This window comes from Homo sapiens, chromosome 13, assembly GCF_000001405.40.
Source record: "Homo sapiens chromosome 13, GRCh38.p14 Primary Assembly".
NCBI classification, from domain to species: domain Eukaryota; kingdom Metazoa; phylum Chordata; class Mammalia; order Primates; family Hominidae; genus Homo; species Homo sapiens.
The window spans coordinates 46,277,178-46,294,342 of record NC_000013.11 but is presented as its reverse complement, the minus strand read 5'-3'; the positions used below and the strand labels follow the sequence as shown (position 1 = coordinate 46,294,342).

General features: G+C 39.4%; 2 long non-coding RNA genes across 2 annotated transcripts in view, besides 1 other annotated feature; both read left to right on the top strand.

Annotated features, from left to right (window-relative positions):
* Positions 1-17,165, top strand: part of LOC105370194 (uncharacterized) — a 47,059-nt gene that overhangs the window by 27,417 nt on the left and 2,477 nt on the right. The window lies entirely within an intron of this gene.
* Positions 384-885: an enhancer, noted in NCBI's record as "NANOG hESC enhancer chr13:46867593-46868094 (GRCh37/hg19 assembly coordinates)". NCBI's record gives its function as "activates a minimal SCP1, AML or CMV promoter by ChIP-STARR-seq in primed H9 embryonic stem cells {active_cell/tissue: H9 hESC(primed)}" and the evidence as "EXISTENCE:reporter gene assay evidence [ECO:0000049][PMID:30033119]".
* Positions 14,502-15,919, top strand: LOC124903170 (uncharacterized). Its single transcript, XR_007063785.1, has 2 exons — positions 14,502-14,557; positions 15,448-15,919. It is a non-coding gene; the product is annotated as an uncharacterized LOC124903170 (long non-coding RNA).

Sequence of the window (17,165 nt, the reverse complement as noted above, 5' to 3'; positions counted from 1 at the left end):
TTTGCCACTTTCTAAACATGCAATGTTATTTATTTTATTTTATTTTATTTTATTTTATTTTATTTTATTTTATTTTATTTTATTATTTTATTTTATTTTATTTTATTTTATTTTATTTTATTTTATTTGAGATGGAGTCTCACTCTGTCACCCAGGCTGGAGTGCACTGGCGTGATCTCGGGTCACTGCAACCTCCACCTCCCAGGTTCAAGCGATTCTCCTGCCTCAGCCTCCCAAGTAGCTGGGACTATAGGCATGCGCCACCACATCCAGCTTTAATAGAGATGAAGTTTCACCATGTTGGCCAGTCTGGTCTCGAACTCCTGACATCAAGTGCTCCGCCTGCCTCAGCCTCCCAAAGTGCTAGGATTACAGGTTTGAGCCACCACGTCCAGCCACATGCAATATATGTAGAAGCATGAACAGTGACTGCACCTGTGTGGCCTAGACTCCCCCTTTACTTACAGTGACTCAGCTATCCAGCCCAATTAAAGCCCCGTTTTCACCTTTGTTATGAAAGGTACTGTTTTGGGGAACTATCCCGGGTGTCTTCCTTACTTGTTGCAAGTAATAAAATCCCCTTGTTAAATCCTCCTTGGTTGTGGTCATTGGATGGCCACCCACCAAGTGATCATACCTGCCCATTGTGTGGGTAACAAACATAAAACCATTTGAAAAGAGCTCTGGCTGTCTTGTGAGCTTTCCACCCACCCACTTCCCATTAAGCTCTGGAATAGGTCTCTTAAGACGTCTGAAAGTTATGTAAATTGGAGATCACAATTTAGTTCAGAGTTATAAGAACAGTTAAGGACATCTTTGATATAGGAAAACTCCACGTGTTATTTTTATGGATTGCTTTGGGGGCATACAGTGTGCTTCTGAGGGAACATTCTAGGGTGGACTCTGTTACCTGGAATTGTGTGGTTAGTGTGGGCTTATCAGCCTTCACAGTGGGCTTTCTTGTAGAACTAGGATCTGAGTCTATTTGAAAGTTTTCAAGGGCTTTGAAAATGGAAGCTTCTTGGTTCTTAAGGAAAGGGGGTCCAGATTGTTTTGGGCTAGCCATGATTGGGCTGTGGTGTAGATGAGCAACTCAAGCTCTATTGTGAATGAAAAGAGAATACAGCTGTTTAGGAAAGCTGTGAGAAGGGCATGCAATGGAACCCATAGGATAGAGAGGAGGGAGATGCACCAGTGGTTGTGGGATGGAGACCTAGTTTTCTGACACCTGAGTGAGAGGGAATTGTCAGAATGGGGAAAGAGGCTGTCCATGCAGTGCAGGAGTGGGTCAGGGTGTTGGGAAGGGCAGACTCATAGGAAGCCTAATGCAGGGTCCCCCTCTCACACGCCCAGGAGCTGCCTTGAGTAGTGTGTTCGTGGCTGACCACCCAGCCTTCACGCATGTGGAGATCTCCCTCTCCTCCTCCACCCTATACATGAACCTCGGCTCCACCCAGCCCTCTGCCTCACCAGTTGACTGACTAGCAAAAGTGACCCCAAGCAATGCCACAAGGCATGCTTCTGCCCAGCCTTCCTCATGTGGACAACTTCCCAAGATATCTACAAACCCAAAGGGGGCCCTCATAGCTTAGTGTTCTCAGAGTTCCCTGTCCTGTGCTTGGGGCAGGAATCCTAGTGAAATGAGCAAAATTTAGACCCTCAAGTTGGGACAGTGCTTAACAGCATTCCGTCACCTTTTTAAGGTAATACTGTTTTCCCCTTTTTTTTTTTTTTTTTTTTTTTTTAGAGCCAGGGTCTCCCTCTGTCATGTAGGCTAGAGTGCAGTGGCACAATCACAGCTCACTGCAGCCTCTACCTCCTGGGCTCAAGCAATTCTCCTGCCTCAGCCTCCCAAGTAGCTGGGACCACAGGCCTGTACCACTATACCTGGCTATTTTTTTATTATTATTTTTTGTAGAGACAGGGTCTTGCTTTGTTGCCCAGGCTGGTTTCGAACCCCTGGTCAAGCAATTCCCCTGCTTTGGCCTCTCAGAATGCTGGGATTACAGGCTTAAACCACTGCAGCTGGCCTTGTTTTCATACTTTTAAACTTATTTGTCTTACACAGGACATCTTTTACACTTGTGTCCGCTGAAGACTACAAATAGCGGTAATTCCATTTGCCCTGTATAGAGTGGGGGACAAGGAGATAAACCTAATAGTGATGATGATAAACACCTGTAGCATCATCATGAGAGGAATTCAGGTGGAATCAAAATACAAGAACAGTTAAGAGTTCTTTGAGCTTTGACAAAAGGAATACCATAGATCATTTCCGAGTCTCTTTTTGGTGTATTGCCAAACAGAAAAGGAAAATAAAATTGTAAAGTTCCAATTAGGCAATTTGTTCTGTGATGCCTGATGTTACAGAGAAATGCCCTTGTCAGAATGCCGTTTCAAGGATAATCTATCATCATGCTTTCTGGGCTAAGAGAATGCCCAGTTAATGTCAGTGGGAAATCTGGTGTCCCAGCAGATATTTCCAATTAGATAATGACTTTGTGAAACTGTCTGTAGCTGGCCCAGGCCTTACGGAGACTATTGATCTGCTTGTTGAGCCAAATTTTGCATTACTATAAATTACTTGGGTAATGCTTACATCTTATTACCTCACTCCTAAATTAAAAGTGTCTGACAGAAGCAAGAGTGACCCAGGGATCAAAAAGTACAATTGGTGTGCATCTCTTTTTAGTTAAAAAAAAAAAAAAAGAATACAACCCATAAGCTATATGCAATTGAGCTAGAGAAAAGTACAGGAAGAAAATCAAACTGACTTATTTGTACAGTTTCAGGTAAGCCCATGGTTCTCACTAAGCTTTTTATAATTATGGCAAATGGCTTGTCTGAGTTCCAGAGGAATATGCCAATTGGCCTCATGAAGTTTCAGCTTAAAAGAAATCTAGTCATAGTAGTATTCTGGAGACACCTCTGACTTCTGCAGAATTTTCTAACATCAGCTTTCTTTATTTGAAACATAGTGGAAAATTTAACTTGTTTAGATTTTCCCAGTCATCAAACAAATTCATGTGTTGTTGCTGAAATGTTGTGAAGGGGGTCAGACATTCCAAAACTGATGTGGCACATTGAGTAGACTGATTCTTACTCTTCTCATGCTCCAGGTGTCAGGAAACAGCCTTTCTCACATTCAGGGGCAATCATGGAGGAACTCCCTCAAAAGGGACAGGTAGCTCCAGTTCCTGGACTCACACATTGCCTAGGGGCCACACGGGGACTGAGGGAGAATGCAATGTGCCTGCTTTTTTTTTTTGGCAGGTAGGACCTAAGCAGGGGTGAGGCATGGGAGGCAGAATGGAATAACTTGGTCCTTTCTCTCATGGCCCTTTATACCAAAGACCAGTTCCCTCCCTGCCTCTGCATGAAATCTCTGGTAGAGCCCAGTGCTCTACCTGCTTTTTTGGTCATCAGAGCAGTATCATTGCAGCAACAAAATGTCCAGTCCAGTGTAATAACCACACTCCAAGCTCTTAAGCAAGTGAGACCAGTATTGAGTCTGACAGGAGACCTAGAGTGGGGTAGAAGTGGTGATCAGTTGCATCTGTCACCCCCCACCCCGCAGTCCCACCTTGCTCACCCATTGGCTGGCTGTAGTTTCTGACCCTTTCAGAGTGGTGCTCCAGGGGCAAAGGAGATTAGGAGAAACTGGCACAGTCTTGCGTCATGATCTGGCATTGTGTCATTTGGATTTGGTGGATGCTCAAGACCGATTGTCTCTGGAAATTTTGTGGGTTTCTTGAAGAGTGTCCCAAACTCACCCCACCAGGAATCTCCCACTGCAGCTCCCACCATCCTGGTGGTGCTTCCTTCAATTGCCACTTTCTGTCCCCTCCCTTAAGCCCTGCACCTCCAGTAGTAGATTCCCTTGTAGCATTTGGCTCAATCTCCAAGCAGACCTCCTAAAGAGAACCCTCTCAACATGATCCCAGGCCTGATCCTCCCTCTGGTCCACCTGACTCAAGGGAAAGCTGACACATCCTTGCCTCTGTTTGGGGTCTTGTTGCTTATGCCTAAGCTGATCTGGGTCTGTTCTTTTTACTTGGCCATCTTAGGCCAATAGCCACAGTCTCCTCCCTTTCAATTTCTGTGTGTGTCCTGCACCAGTGCCATGTCCCTGAGCTCCAGGAAACACATTAGAAACTCATCAAGCAGGCCTTTGAAGTCTCTCCCACTTGGCTTAGGGCAAGGGGAAGCAACCACCGTGATTCCTGGAGCTTTAGTTCTGCAACTGTTCTGTCTAAAGGAATTCTTTTATGTGTCTCCTCAGGTCTTGGTGGACCTCTCACACACCTCTTATGTGTTTTCCAGATTGCTGGAATATGTGTATATATATATATATATATATATATGCGCCACACAGACACACACACACATATATACACACATATATGACTAACTCACAAAACTAGTTTTAACCACCTTCTTTCCAAGTTCTTTACAACATATCATTGTGAAACTTATTTTAAGCATCTGGCCACCAATTAAAATGAAGAGAATGCAAATATTATTTCAGTATCCTGTTTGAGTTGCTAACCATTACCAAACAAGAGCTTAGTAACCTAAAAAGAGGTCATATAAAATGCACTTGTAAGCACTAACATGTAAACAAAGAGAACCTTAGTCTGATAGGTTATATTGACAAAGATTCAGAGGCACATCAGGGCCTAGCAGGCGAGAGTGTCAGGATTGATTAGGAATGTCTATAGTAAGCTGGGGAATACGATGATAGAAATTCACCTGGCTAGAAATTCACCATCCCAGTAGATGTTGGGAGACTCAATAACAAATCAGATTTTGCATGCAGTTCCCAGGTTTTCCTGGTTTGCTGATTTATCAGACTTTTTTTGTTGTTGTTTACAGCTGTACAGAGGTACAAAAAGGAAACAGAAGTTGACCAGAAGTGGTTGATTTCTTCCTGGCCAGTAGGTCATATATAGACCCGTGTCTGGTGAGGTGAGAGAGCCCAGACCCCCGCCTCACCCCACAAGTGAGATCACAAAGAAATCAGTTTGCTGAAATTTTCCCCAGCCTTACATGTAAATCTGACTGATACCAGGTTTAGAAGACAGCCAAGAGCCACTTGAAGGGAAAAAGGAGTGAGTTAGCAACAGATTTCTCCAGTAGGGGGAGTCTAACTCTTTGCTGGTGTCATTGATTAGTGTCTAAAGCAGTATCTGTTAGGATTAGATTTGGCTGGATAAAACAGAGACCCAAAATATCAGTGACTAAAACAAGATCAAAATCATTTTCTCTCCCATGTACAAGATAGGGAATACCAGGTCTGATACTGTGGATCTATGATGCCATCAGGGGCATAGGTCTCTACTCTCTACTCTTTATTCTCAAGGTCACCTTGTAGCCAAAAATGGCTGCTGGAACCCCAGTCATATTGTCTGCATTCTACGCTGGAATAAAGAGTAAAGGTAAGACCAAAGGGTAAGAAAGATCTTCCCTCGAATCAATCACCTGCCTTTCAACAGCCTTCCTGGAGTCTGACCCAATACTTTCACTCATGTTACTGTCCATAGTATAGTGGCCAGATGCAGCTACAAGGGAGCCTGGGGAAAGTAGTAGCTTCTACTAGGAGGCGATTGTGCCTATCCAAAAATTGGATTCTGCTCCTAAGGAGGAAAGAGAGAAAGAAAATGCCGTGGTTAATCGGTCTTCTGCACCACACAGGTAATACTAGAAAAACAATGGCTTAAACATTTCTCCCCTCCCTTGGTATATGAAAGTGCTTTGCAAAATTCTGAACTGTGTAGGCAAGGTAACTTGGTTTATATTGGTATGGAAGAGTTTGAAGTGATGCAAAGACAGCACACTCTTTGATGAGAGATTAAGGGAGGAAATTAGGAGTATTCAAATCATAGTGTCTTTTTCTCCCAACAAATGACTGTATATCTGAATTTATTAAAAAAAAAAAAAACAAGAATACATAGTCTGGCATCTCTTCTGAGTCTGACAATAAATAAGAAAATTAAAAATGGTGAAATCATTTACACAACATATTATTGGAGTCACTTTCTGGTTTTGAGAATTTATTTAGCTGAATAAATCTATAGAAAGTTCCTGCTATGTGCAAAGCACTGTGCCAGGAAATACTTAAAATTAGCAGAATGAATAGCATATCCTATTTCTTAAAACAAAAAAAGGTATAATCCATTAGAGTATACATTCCATGAGGATAGAATATTTTGTCTGTTTCATTCTCTGCCATAACTGAAAAGTATAAGATAGTGTCTGGCATAGAATAGGAATCCAGCACGTATTTCTTAACTGAGTGAATGAATGAATCCTAGAAAATACTGATCTGCCACTTACTCTAAAAAAATAAAAATATCTTGGGAAAAAATAAATCAGTTTGAAAATACGTGTATGTCGGTTTTTAGAAAAGGAATGTGTTTCTGAGGAATAGTACATTAAATCATATTTAGAGCTGACAGTTTAAAAGTGTCATATAAAGATTTATTTTCTAGAACAAATAATCATTTTATAAAGAGAATAATTACCTTTGTTTGTTTGACAAATCTGGATTTTTAAAAATACGTCACATTTGTATAAGGTGGCATAAAGTCCACTTTAGTACCAAGAACAGAACATGAATTAAAACTAACTCGTACTTTTGCCATATCAGTCCTATAAAACTATTTTTTCTATAAGAAATTTATAGGCTTAGTGAATTGATGGGTGAAGTAAAGTTTTTTAAAAACTTTCTTCCTCCATAGGATGCAAATTAAGCAAATAGTCCTAGAAACTCCCCTTTCTCCCTCATGCTCTACATCCAATCTGCCAATTTTATATTCTAAATGTTTTTTAAAATTTCTCCTCCTTACTACTACTACTGCCATGCCCGGTTGGAAACCTTAACATCTTCTCTGAATTTCCTCTGTACATCTACCAGACTAATCTATTCAGAATACACATTAGATGATATTATTCCTCAGTTAAAACCTTTCCATGACTCCCTAACAGCTATTAACAGTCCTTACATGGTATGTGAGAGCCTTGTGACCTGGCCTTGTTTATTTCACTATTGTCTCCCATAATTCTCTGCCATGCATTTTACAACAGCAAGATTGCTTTAACTAATGCTCCCTCAGAAAGTGAATCCCCAGAGGTGGCTCTGTGCTGCTTCACTGTGCTTCTACGGCATGCTGGGCATACCTCTGCCATAGAAATTCTATGTTACACTTTATGCAAAGGACCTAGCATGGTGTCAGGCATCTAGAAGGTGCTCAGTAAATAACTGATGAATTGAACCAAGCTTTAACAATTGTGATCTCCAGAGAACACTAGTTTGGAAGTTTTACCAGATGGTTAATATAGTTGTTATTTTCTTCCACTATAAAGCAAGGAATCTCCACGATTCCCCAGAGCTATGCAGCAAAAGAACACTCTGAACCATTTGGCCTTACTGTACCTAGGTCCTCCTACAACTGTTTTCTGATCAAACACACCGCATTTCTTATTGGTGAAAAATGGGACTTCCTAATATGTCCTAATGGAAATATTAAAAGAGTGGCTAGGTAGTCAAAATGAGTTGGTACTCTTGATTTGTGGCTGTATGGATTTCTGAGATTAATTACATTTGGAACATTTGCATTGCTTGCTAGCTAAAGGAATCCCATTTAAAGATTAGAAATGCTGAACTAAACACAGCTTGGAGAGAATATAAAGAATCAATTTTTGTCATTAGTCTCTACCTCCTGTCCCTCCCCTAAATGTAATGAAAACAACAAATGAAAAAATCAGAGATCCTCAACCGACTTTCAATCATTTGAAAAGGTCATTGTGGGTGGGGGGAGGGGGGAGGGATAGCATTAGGAGATATACCTAATGCTAAATGACGAGTTGATGGCTGCAGCACACCAACATGGCACATGTATACATATGTAACAAACTTGCACGTTGTGCACATGTACCCTAAAACTTAAAATATAATAATAATAAAATTTAAAAAAAAGAAACAAAGGGGAAAAAAGTAAAAAAAAAAAAAAAAGTAAAAGAAACTGGGAAAATGCATGTTTAAAATCTATTTTAGAAAAACAAACCATAATGTCCTTGAAGGCAGCCATCATGTTACAAGAGAAAGGAGAATGGGCTGGGCAGACACAAGTTCTCACATTAAAAATAAGAGCTACCCTTTTCTGAGTCCATACTCTGTGCCAAATCCTGCATCGGGTGCTTTGCACGTCCTGTAAGATGAGGAGCCTTGGGCAGGTCACTTGACCTCTGCTTTATTTATTTATTTATTTTCATTTTTGAGAAGGGCCTTGCTCTGTTGCCCAGGCTGGAGTGCAGTGGCACAATCATGGCTCACTGCAGTCTTGACCTATTGGCTCAAGCAATCCTCGTGCCTCAGCCCACAAATATCTGGGACTACAGGCATGTGCCACGATGTCTGGCTAATTTTTGTATTTTTTGTAGAGATGGGATTTCACTATGCTGCCTCGGCTTCTACTTTCCTTTACCTTATTGGAAGTGAGGACCCTGAGTCTGGGTTCTGGAAGGGGAAAGAATCAACTCCCAACTCCTCACCTCCTCACCCCCGGTGGCTGCCCAGGTTGAGTTGTTCATCTGCTGGAAGAACTCTGCATGTATTTGTGACCCTGTTGGAGGCTTTTTTTTCCTTTCTTTTTTTTTTCTTTTTGAGACGGAGTCTCACTCTGTCACCAGGCTGAAGTGCAGTGGCGCGATCTCAGCTCACTGCAACCTCTGCCTCTTGGGTTCAAGCAATTCTCCTGCCTCAGCCTCCTAAGTAGCTGGGATTACAGGTGCCTACCACCATGCCCGGCTAATTTTTTTTTTTTTTGTATTTTTAGTAGAGACAGGGTTTCACTATGTTGGCCAGGCTGGTTTCAAACTCCTGACCTCAAGTGATCTGCCCACCTCAGCCTCCCAAAGTGTTAGGATTACAGGCGTGAGCCACCGTGCCCGGCCTGTTGGAGGCTTTTCAACTGGGTGTTAACCCACACTCCTGGGAAGCGGGAGGAGAGAGAATTTTGGGAGGGACCAAGCGTCAGTAGAGGAGGTGGTTGGCCTGGAGAGGGCATATTCACCAACCACTGCAGAAGGGAACCTCATCTTGCCCTCCTGAGTAAGCAAACTCCAGGGCCTCAGCAGCTGTCTTTCCTCCTGAGCCTGCAGGAAGCCAGGCCCTTGGGTGGTGCCATCACGAGCCTTCACTGGTGCTGCACCAGCCTGGCTGCCTTGGTTGAGGATTGGTCCTTCCCCATCCCTAACCCTACCCTGTCTCTGGCAGACAGTGACACCAGGTAATATCTTTAAACTGTCACTCATGGTTGGTTGCTGGTGGCAGTTTATGGGAGTCAGATTATCAGGGTAGAGGCTCAGGGTGCATGAAGTCGAATATGTGAAAGTAAAGCACTGCCTTGGTGGGCAGCTTATGTTTAAACAGTGATACCAGTAAGCTACTTTTTAAAAATTTTTTAAATTTATTTTTTATTTTTATTGAGGCAGGGTCTCTTCTGTTGCCCAGGCTGGAGTGCAATCTTGGCTTACTGCAACCTCTGCCTCCTGGGTTCAAGTGATCCTCCCACTTTAGCCTCCTGAGTAGCTGGGCCCACAGGCACGCACCACCACGCCCGGCTAATTCTTTTATTTTCTGTAGAGATGGTGTTTTACCATGTTGCCCAGGCTGTCTCGAACTCCTAGGCTCAAGCAATCCACCCATTTTGGCCTCCCAAAGTGTTGGGATTATAGATGTGAGCCACCACGCCTGGCAAGCAAGCTACTTCTGAGTGCCTGCAGCCTAGAGGATTTTTTTTAAAATTATTTTTTTATTTTTTAGTATTTGTTGATCATTCTTGGGTGTTTCTCGGAGAGGGGGATGTGGCAGGGTCATAGGATAATAGTGGAGAGAAGGTCAGCAGATAAACACGTGAACAAAGTTCTCTGGTTTTCCTAGGCAGAGGGCCCTGCGGCCTTCCGCAGTGTTTGTGTCTCTGGGTAGTTGAGATTAGGGAGTGGTGATGACTCTTAATGAGTATGCTGCCTTCAAGCATCTGTTTAACAAAGCACATCTTGCACCGCCCTTAATCCATTTAACCCTGAGTTGACACAGCACATGTTTCAGAGAGCACGGGGTTGGGGGTAAGGTTATAGATTAATAGCATCCCAAGGCAGAAGAATTTTTCTTAGTACAGAACAAAATGGAGTCTCCTATGTCTACTTCTTTCTACACAGACACAGTAACAATCTGATCTCTCTTTCTTTTCCCCACATTTCCCCTTTTTCTTTTCGACAAAACTGCCATTGTCATCATGGCCCGTTCTTGATGGTCGCTGTCTCTTCGGAGCTGTTGGGTACACGATATTTAATATCCCTTGTGAGGTAGACAGGATATTACACAACCCTTAGATTACAAGCACAAAATGATAATCCCTAGTGAAGGGGGCTCAGAACACCTTGCTCTACCTTCTCATCCTTGCTTTTAACCACAGTCAGCTGAGAATACCTGCTCCACACAAAACTCTGATAATGGACAAGAGGACAGAGAGCAGGCAGAGCTGGCGACCAGTTTGTCAGAACAAGGCAGAGTATTCCATGGGAGATATATCGGGCAAAACCCTGAGCTTGGAAGTTATACTTTTTGAGTAAATGCATAAGCATAATATCCAAGTAAGAGGCAGACAAAAACTTCAGACTATATTGTTTTTACCGTAAAAAACATGGATCATAGAGAAGTGAATTCCCCAATGACTGAATTATCACATTCATGATCACATTAGTGAAGCTAAACGCACATTACCAGATGGGAGACTCTAACCGGTGTGGCTCTCAGTTCTCTTCAAACTAAAGTAATCCTAACCAAAATCCAAAACAGTTTATGTGGTGTGGGAAAGGGATATAAAACAAAATAATTTTAAGGATTATAATAATTATCATAGAAAAACAAAGGTACGAGAATAGCTAAGAAGTTTTACATAAGGATAGCAATTAGTTGGAACTTGATAAATCAGATATATTGAGGCTTGGTTTTGGTTAAAATAATTAAAACAGTGTGGTATTGGCATTACATAAACAAGTTAATGACACAGAAAGTGGAGGAAAAAAATGGCCTAACCATGTAAGAATTTAGTGTATCGTAAGTAGCATTTCAGATTGGTGGGGTAAAGATTGAGCAGATAATGGCTGAGGGCACAACTTCCCAGAATTCTATAAAGACTTGAATTGTGGAACCACACATCACTTACCATACTGAGGTAATTCTGAGGTGAATCAAAGATGAATTCTGAGGTGAATCAAAGATAAAAATATAAAATAAGTAAAGTTTAGATCAATATGTAATTTGAGGACTGAAGAAGGGCTTATTAAGCTTAGCATTAAGAAGAAAAACAAAAACTAGAGCGATAGATTTTATAATCTAAAATTTACATTTTCGTTACGTCAAGAAATCTCACTTCAAAAAGGCAGGCAGTAAACTGAGAAAAATATTTTCATCACACATGACAGAAGGTTAATATTCTATCTATCTATCTATCTATCTATCTATCTATCTATCTAACTAAGCTGTTACAAATCAATAAGATAAACAAGCATACCAATAGAAACGTGAGAAAAAGATGTAAAAGGAAAAATCAGAAAAGATAATAGGATCATGATTATTTAACGTGGAACACAAATCAACTTTACTAGTAATAAACAAAAATCAGTGACATTGTCTAATTGGCAATGAATATATTAGTTAATTAATTAATATCAGTAATGTGGGCTTAGGCAAAAAAGGGCATTTTATACATTACTGGTGAAGAGGTAAACTGATATGAAGAACAATTTTATCATAAAAAATTTATATCAAAATTAAATGAAAATGGGTAGAGATTTTGGCAATGATTTAGCTTTAGAAATGTTCTTTATCAAATTGTTGTTTATAATAGAAGAGAAAATGAAGGTAATTTAATTAGAGAATATTAGATAAGTAAATTGGGGCACTTCCATAATGACACATCAACGTTGGAATATCATAACAGAAAGGTATTTGTGATATAAGGTTGAGGAGAGAAAAATAGAAAGTGTCACCATTATATGATCCCATTAAAAGTTAAAACATTTTTAATTTTCATAAGAGTAATACATAATTATATTAAAAATTCAAACAATGAGAAGTTCATCTAGCCAAAAGCAAAGGACCCTATAATCAGACCCTAGATTCTGTTTCCCAGACATAACCATGAATTCATTGTTTACCATTCAGTTGGCTTCTGTCAACCTTTTTCTTTGTGTATACAGGCAGTTGTATGCACACATACTCACTGTCGCAGGATGACTTTGCAATACTCTTGAGTATTTTACAGACAGACAATTTCCGTTATTCCTAGTCCCCCTACATGTCTTAATTTAACAAAGCACACTTTGCACTAGGAGTGAGAAAAAGATAGAAAAGAGAAAAGAATGAAAGAAAGGAACAAGAGGAGGGCAGGAGGGAGGCTGGAAAGAGAAGGAATGGAAGGCAAGCAAGTCAAGGAATAAGAAGGATAAAAAAGAGCCTGGTTATTGAGATGTTTTCAACAATGATCAAGAAAACCTAGAAACAGAAACATTCACTCATCTCTCTTCTTTCTCTGGTGCTCCTGGAGTTTTGGAAGTTACAGATAAAGTGGGTCTTACAGTGATTACCCAGTGGCTTACATTAGTTGATATTTGAATGTTTAACCAGTCCTGCAGCCGGGCACGGTGGCTCATGCCTGTAATCCCAACACTTTGGGAGGTCGAGGTGGGAGGATCTCTTGAGCCCAGGAGTTCGAGACCAGCCCGGGCAATATAGAGAGACCTTGTCTCTACAAAAAATATAAAAATTATCTGGATGTGGTGGTGCCTGCCTGTGGTCCCAGCTACTCGGGAGACTGAGGTGGGAGGATCGCTTGAGCCTAGGAGGCTAAGGCTGCGGTGAGCTGAGATCGTGCCCCTGCACTCCAGCCTGGGTGATAGAGCGAGACCTGTCTGAAAACAAAGAACAAAACAAAACAAAACAAGAACCAGGCCTGCATTCTTGGGATAATTTTTATTGATGAGATCGTCAGTGATAATGATGTATAGTTGAGACTAATGAAAAGATAATGAGGTATGTTACACCAACACCTGCCTCTCTTGAATCAACACTTTGGTGTGAGCGTTCTGACCTCTGGAGAACAGTGATTCTCAAGCTCAGCAAGCATTAGAGTCACCTGGAGACCGGGTAGTAATTAAGATTCCTGGATAGTATTCCCAGAGATTTTGATTTAGTAGGTTGGAGGTAGGTCTGAGAATCCATATTTTTAACAAGTGTATGAATGACGCTAATGCTGTTCTTAAATTATATAATACAAAAAAAAGCACTACTGGAATAAGGAAAATTCTTCTATATACAGCTGCATCCTTATAGGTACTTAGTGTTTAAGTAAATGCAAGAAGCTGGTTAACAATATGTGGGCATCTGAAGGAAATTAATGTGAAATAGACTTTTCACTCTTAAATCTTTTTTGAGCTGGGTAAAGTATGCTAGTATTACCTATTTAAAAAGCAAATAAATACATATTTTTCCCAACTCCCAATTAAATATAAATGAACATACCTTTTGACCCAGCAATTTACTTCCAGGAAATTATACCACAGATATATGTAAACATACAAACTTATTCATCACAACATTTTTTTCCAAGCAAGAGGTTAAAAAGTTAAAAGTCCATCAAGTAGTAAACTGGTGAAATAAGCTATATATGTTTGCCCAATGGAATAATATGAAACCATAAAGAAAGAACATAAACTAATAATGTACTGATCTGGAATAACCTCTATGACATAATTTGAATGGAAAGATGCAGAAAGGAGTATATATTATGCTAATATTATACAGATAAGGAAGAAATATATGTATATGTTAGCATACATATGCATAAGCTATCCTGGAATACAAAATGATTGATATCATTGGTTGTCTCTGAGAAGGGAAAAGGATGCCAGGCATCAGGGTTAAAGAAAGAATTTTTATCCTATACACTTTTTTGTACCTTTTGAGTTATGTGACTATGTTACCTAGTAAATATTTTTCAAAAACTAGTTGGTAGATATCTTTCCATTTAAGGAAACAGTTATCTAATTTTTAAATGACTGAATGATAGTGCCTTGTATGGATTTACATACATATTGATGAACTCTTTGAATGTTTCCAGTTTTTCACTATTGTAAATATCCTGGTGGTAAGTATACTTGAATATATTTTTAGACATACGCACAAGTATTTTTTAGCAGAAAATTATTAGACTTATTATGGTAAAAAACAAAAATTAAATGTTGATTGTTATAGCTATATTAAGGTCATCTTTTGTTGTTATTGCTACTTGTAACAGCTTATTGGATGTCAGGATGTTTTAGAGGTCTCTGACAGTTCCAGATTTTAGCTGTCCAAAACACTTTTTCTTCCCCTAGTTTTCAGTTCTAGAATTCTCCTTTCTTGTGGAGAATCTAATTAGTATGTTTTGGGAGGGGCTAATTCTGCCTTACCCAGTTCCAGAGATGGGCATGTGACTCAGGCCTGGCCAGGGTATGCCATCCATGAAGCTTTAATGATTTGTTTGTATTTGGATTTGTGACCCAGGCTGAGCCAATGAAAATCATCCCTAATGTATTTTACAGTAACAGTTGGGATAGACAGTGTGTTTTCCTCTGAGGTTCCTGAGATTCTTGTACATGAACCTGGAATGATTAGTGACCATCCATATTACCTGGATATGAGACAAAATTTTTAGAAAGTATTGGTAAGAGATAGATGATAGATAGATAGATAGATAGATAAATAGATAGAGTGAGCTAGATTAGATAGACAGAAAACTAGATAATGCCTTGATGACACAGTTTGAGTCCTGAATGAGTTGTGCCAGGAGACACATGCACAACATATATATATATTTTTTGTTGTTGTTGTTGTTGAAAACCTCATTCTTTCTGGTCATATATAGTATAGATATGTTCCCCAGTGTGCTGCTTGTCTTTATTTTTGGTTATTTTTGCTCGACAGACATTTAAAAATTTTTTACATGGTAAATTTGTTCATCTTTTCTTTGAGGTTTCATTACCCGCTTTTAAAAAAATCTAAATCTGATTTTTTAAAGACCATAGCTATTTATTTTTATATTTCAACTTAGACCTTTAGGCCTAAAATTGGAAATTAATCTTTGTTGTGGTGTGAGGCAGATAATCCCATTTTTAAAAAAAGTAATACATTATATAAATGTATTACACATATGTATTACACAAATGTATGCACACATACACATGTTGAAATGATTGCCTCTGACTTTCATTGGTTGATGGTGTAGCCGAGTACCCCATTTTTAAAAGGAAAAAAATGATTTTTTTTTCTTTTTCCTTTTCCCCCGCTTCCTACTTAGCTCTTTAGGAATGCAATTATAACCTTTACCTTCTCTCCATCAGGTATGGCAAGCTTATCTATGTGTTTACTTAGAAGTTGCAGAGACCAAAACTTGAAGCAAATCAGGCCCCTCTGGAACTCTCACCCACTAAGAGATTGCCTCAATTTACAACGTAGCTGCCTGCCATGGCGCCAGCCAGACCACATGATAGATAAGACATCTGAAGCAAGTCACACAGACCCCGCACCTCCTCCCCTCCTCCCCATCCCCCCTTTAAAAGCCCTTGCCTTCTGCCCTGAAGGCTGAAGTGGTATCTCAGGGCAGGAGCCTGTACTACTTCCCCTCGGGTAGCTCTTGAATTAAGTCACTTTTTTTTTCCCACCAGACCTTGCTCTTGTTATTCAGACTCTGCAAGCAGTGGATGACTGAACCTGAGTTACAGAGGCATTACAAGGAGGATTTTGTTTTCTTCTTAGGTTTAGTTGTATTTTCTAATATTTCTATAATAAATATGTCTTACTTTCATTAAAAAATACTGTAAGTTACTTTTTTTGGAAGATCTATAAGAGATCACTCAGATTCAAGGTTTATACTAAGCATGAAGAGATTGGGTTCTAAGTATATTTCATATTTGTCTAAGTATCTAGGTATATTTAGTTTTGAAACGTCCCTCAGAATTTGTCATTTCCCTTGAAAGCTATTCTTTTTTATTTCCTATTTCATTGAGAAATTACTCAGTTAAACCAAAACCCAACATGTTTTGAATAAATAAATAAACATATTTCTTCCCCAAGAAATATTTCAGGAACAAGGGTGAGTATTAATAAACTATATGCCACAGGGAGTTAGTATTATTTTCTTCATCTTGTTTTCTAATTATGAGTATATTACATTTTAATGAATTAATTTATCATACTATAAATATCCCTTTCTGCATGCATGTGTAATATGGTAGTTACTTCTCTCATTATAAATAATTTTATTCTTATGCTGGAGAATATAGTGTATACTTATCAAGCAAAGTAAAGTTTACCTGATTCTGCTGAAAAATGAAACAGAGTCTCAAGGAAAAGCGTGTAAGCATTGCAATTTATTGAAATCAATAGAAAAATTATTCTGCCTGATTTATCTTTATTTAAATGATATCACTAAAAGATACACACAAACATGACAATGTATATTTTCTGACATTAATGATGATAGCTGTGTAAATCATTTCATATCACTAAATTTAGCAATGATATTTGAGATTTAAGTGAACTGTGTGTAAAGATATGTGAAACAATTCTATGCCATTCTAAAGTTGTTTGTATATCAAAATGCCCTTTTATCTTTCTCTTACCAAACGTTAATTCTTAAAGTAAGTTTTACTATATGTATATGCTGCTTTGCAATGTTATTTTGTAAGCTGTATTTTATTTTTGTGTCAGGCTATCACTGTAGGCCTTGGTAGATGCTGGTGCTAGCCTATGGAATCAGACTAATGTCCAGTTGCTCAGCTTTAGGACATGAAGTTCAAGGTAACAATTAAAGACTGTACCAGTTCTCTAAGAACCTGGGACATTAATTTAAACAAACAAATGGGGATAGAATTAATCTTTTATTCCCCAAAACAACCTACAATTGAGATGGAAGGTGCTGGTCAGATTTCCACAGAAATGCACAAGCATTGAGCACTTGGATGTGTGACATTGAAGCTCTATGCAGCACATACCCCACTGATGACTCTGCAATGCTATCTCATCACTTAGTATGGATGCATGAAAAGACCAGTTGTAA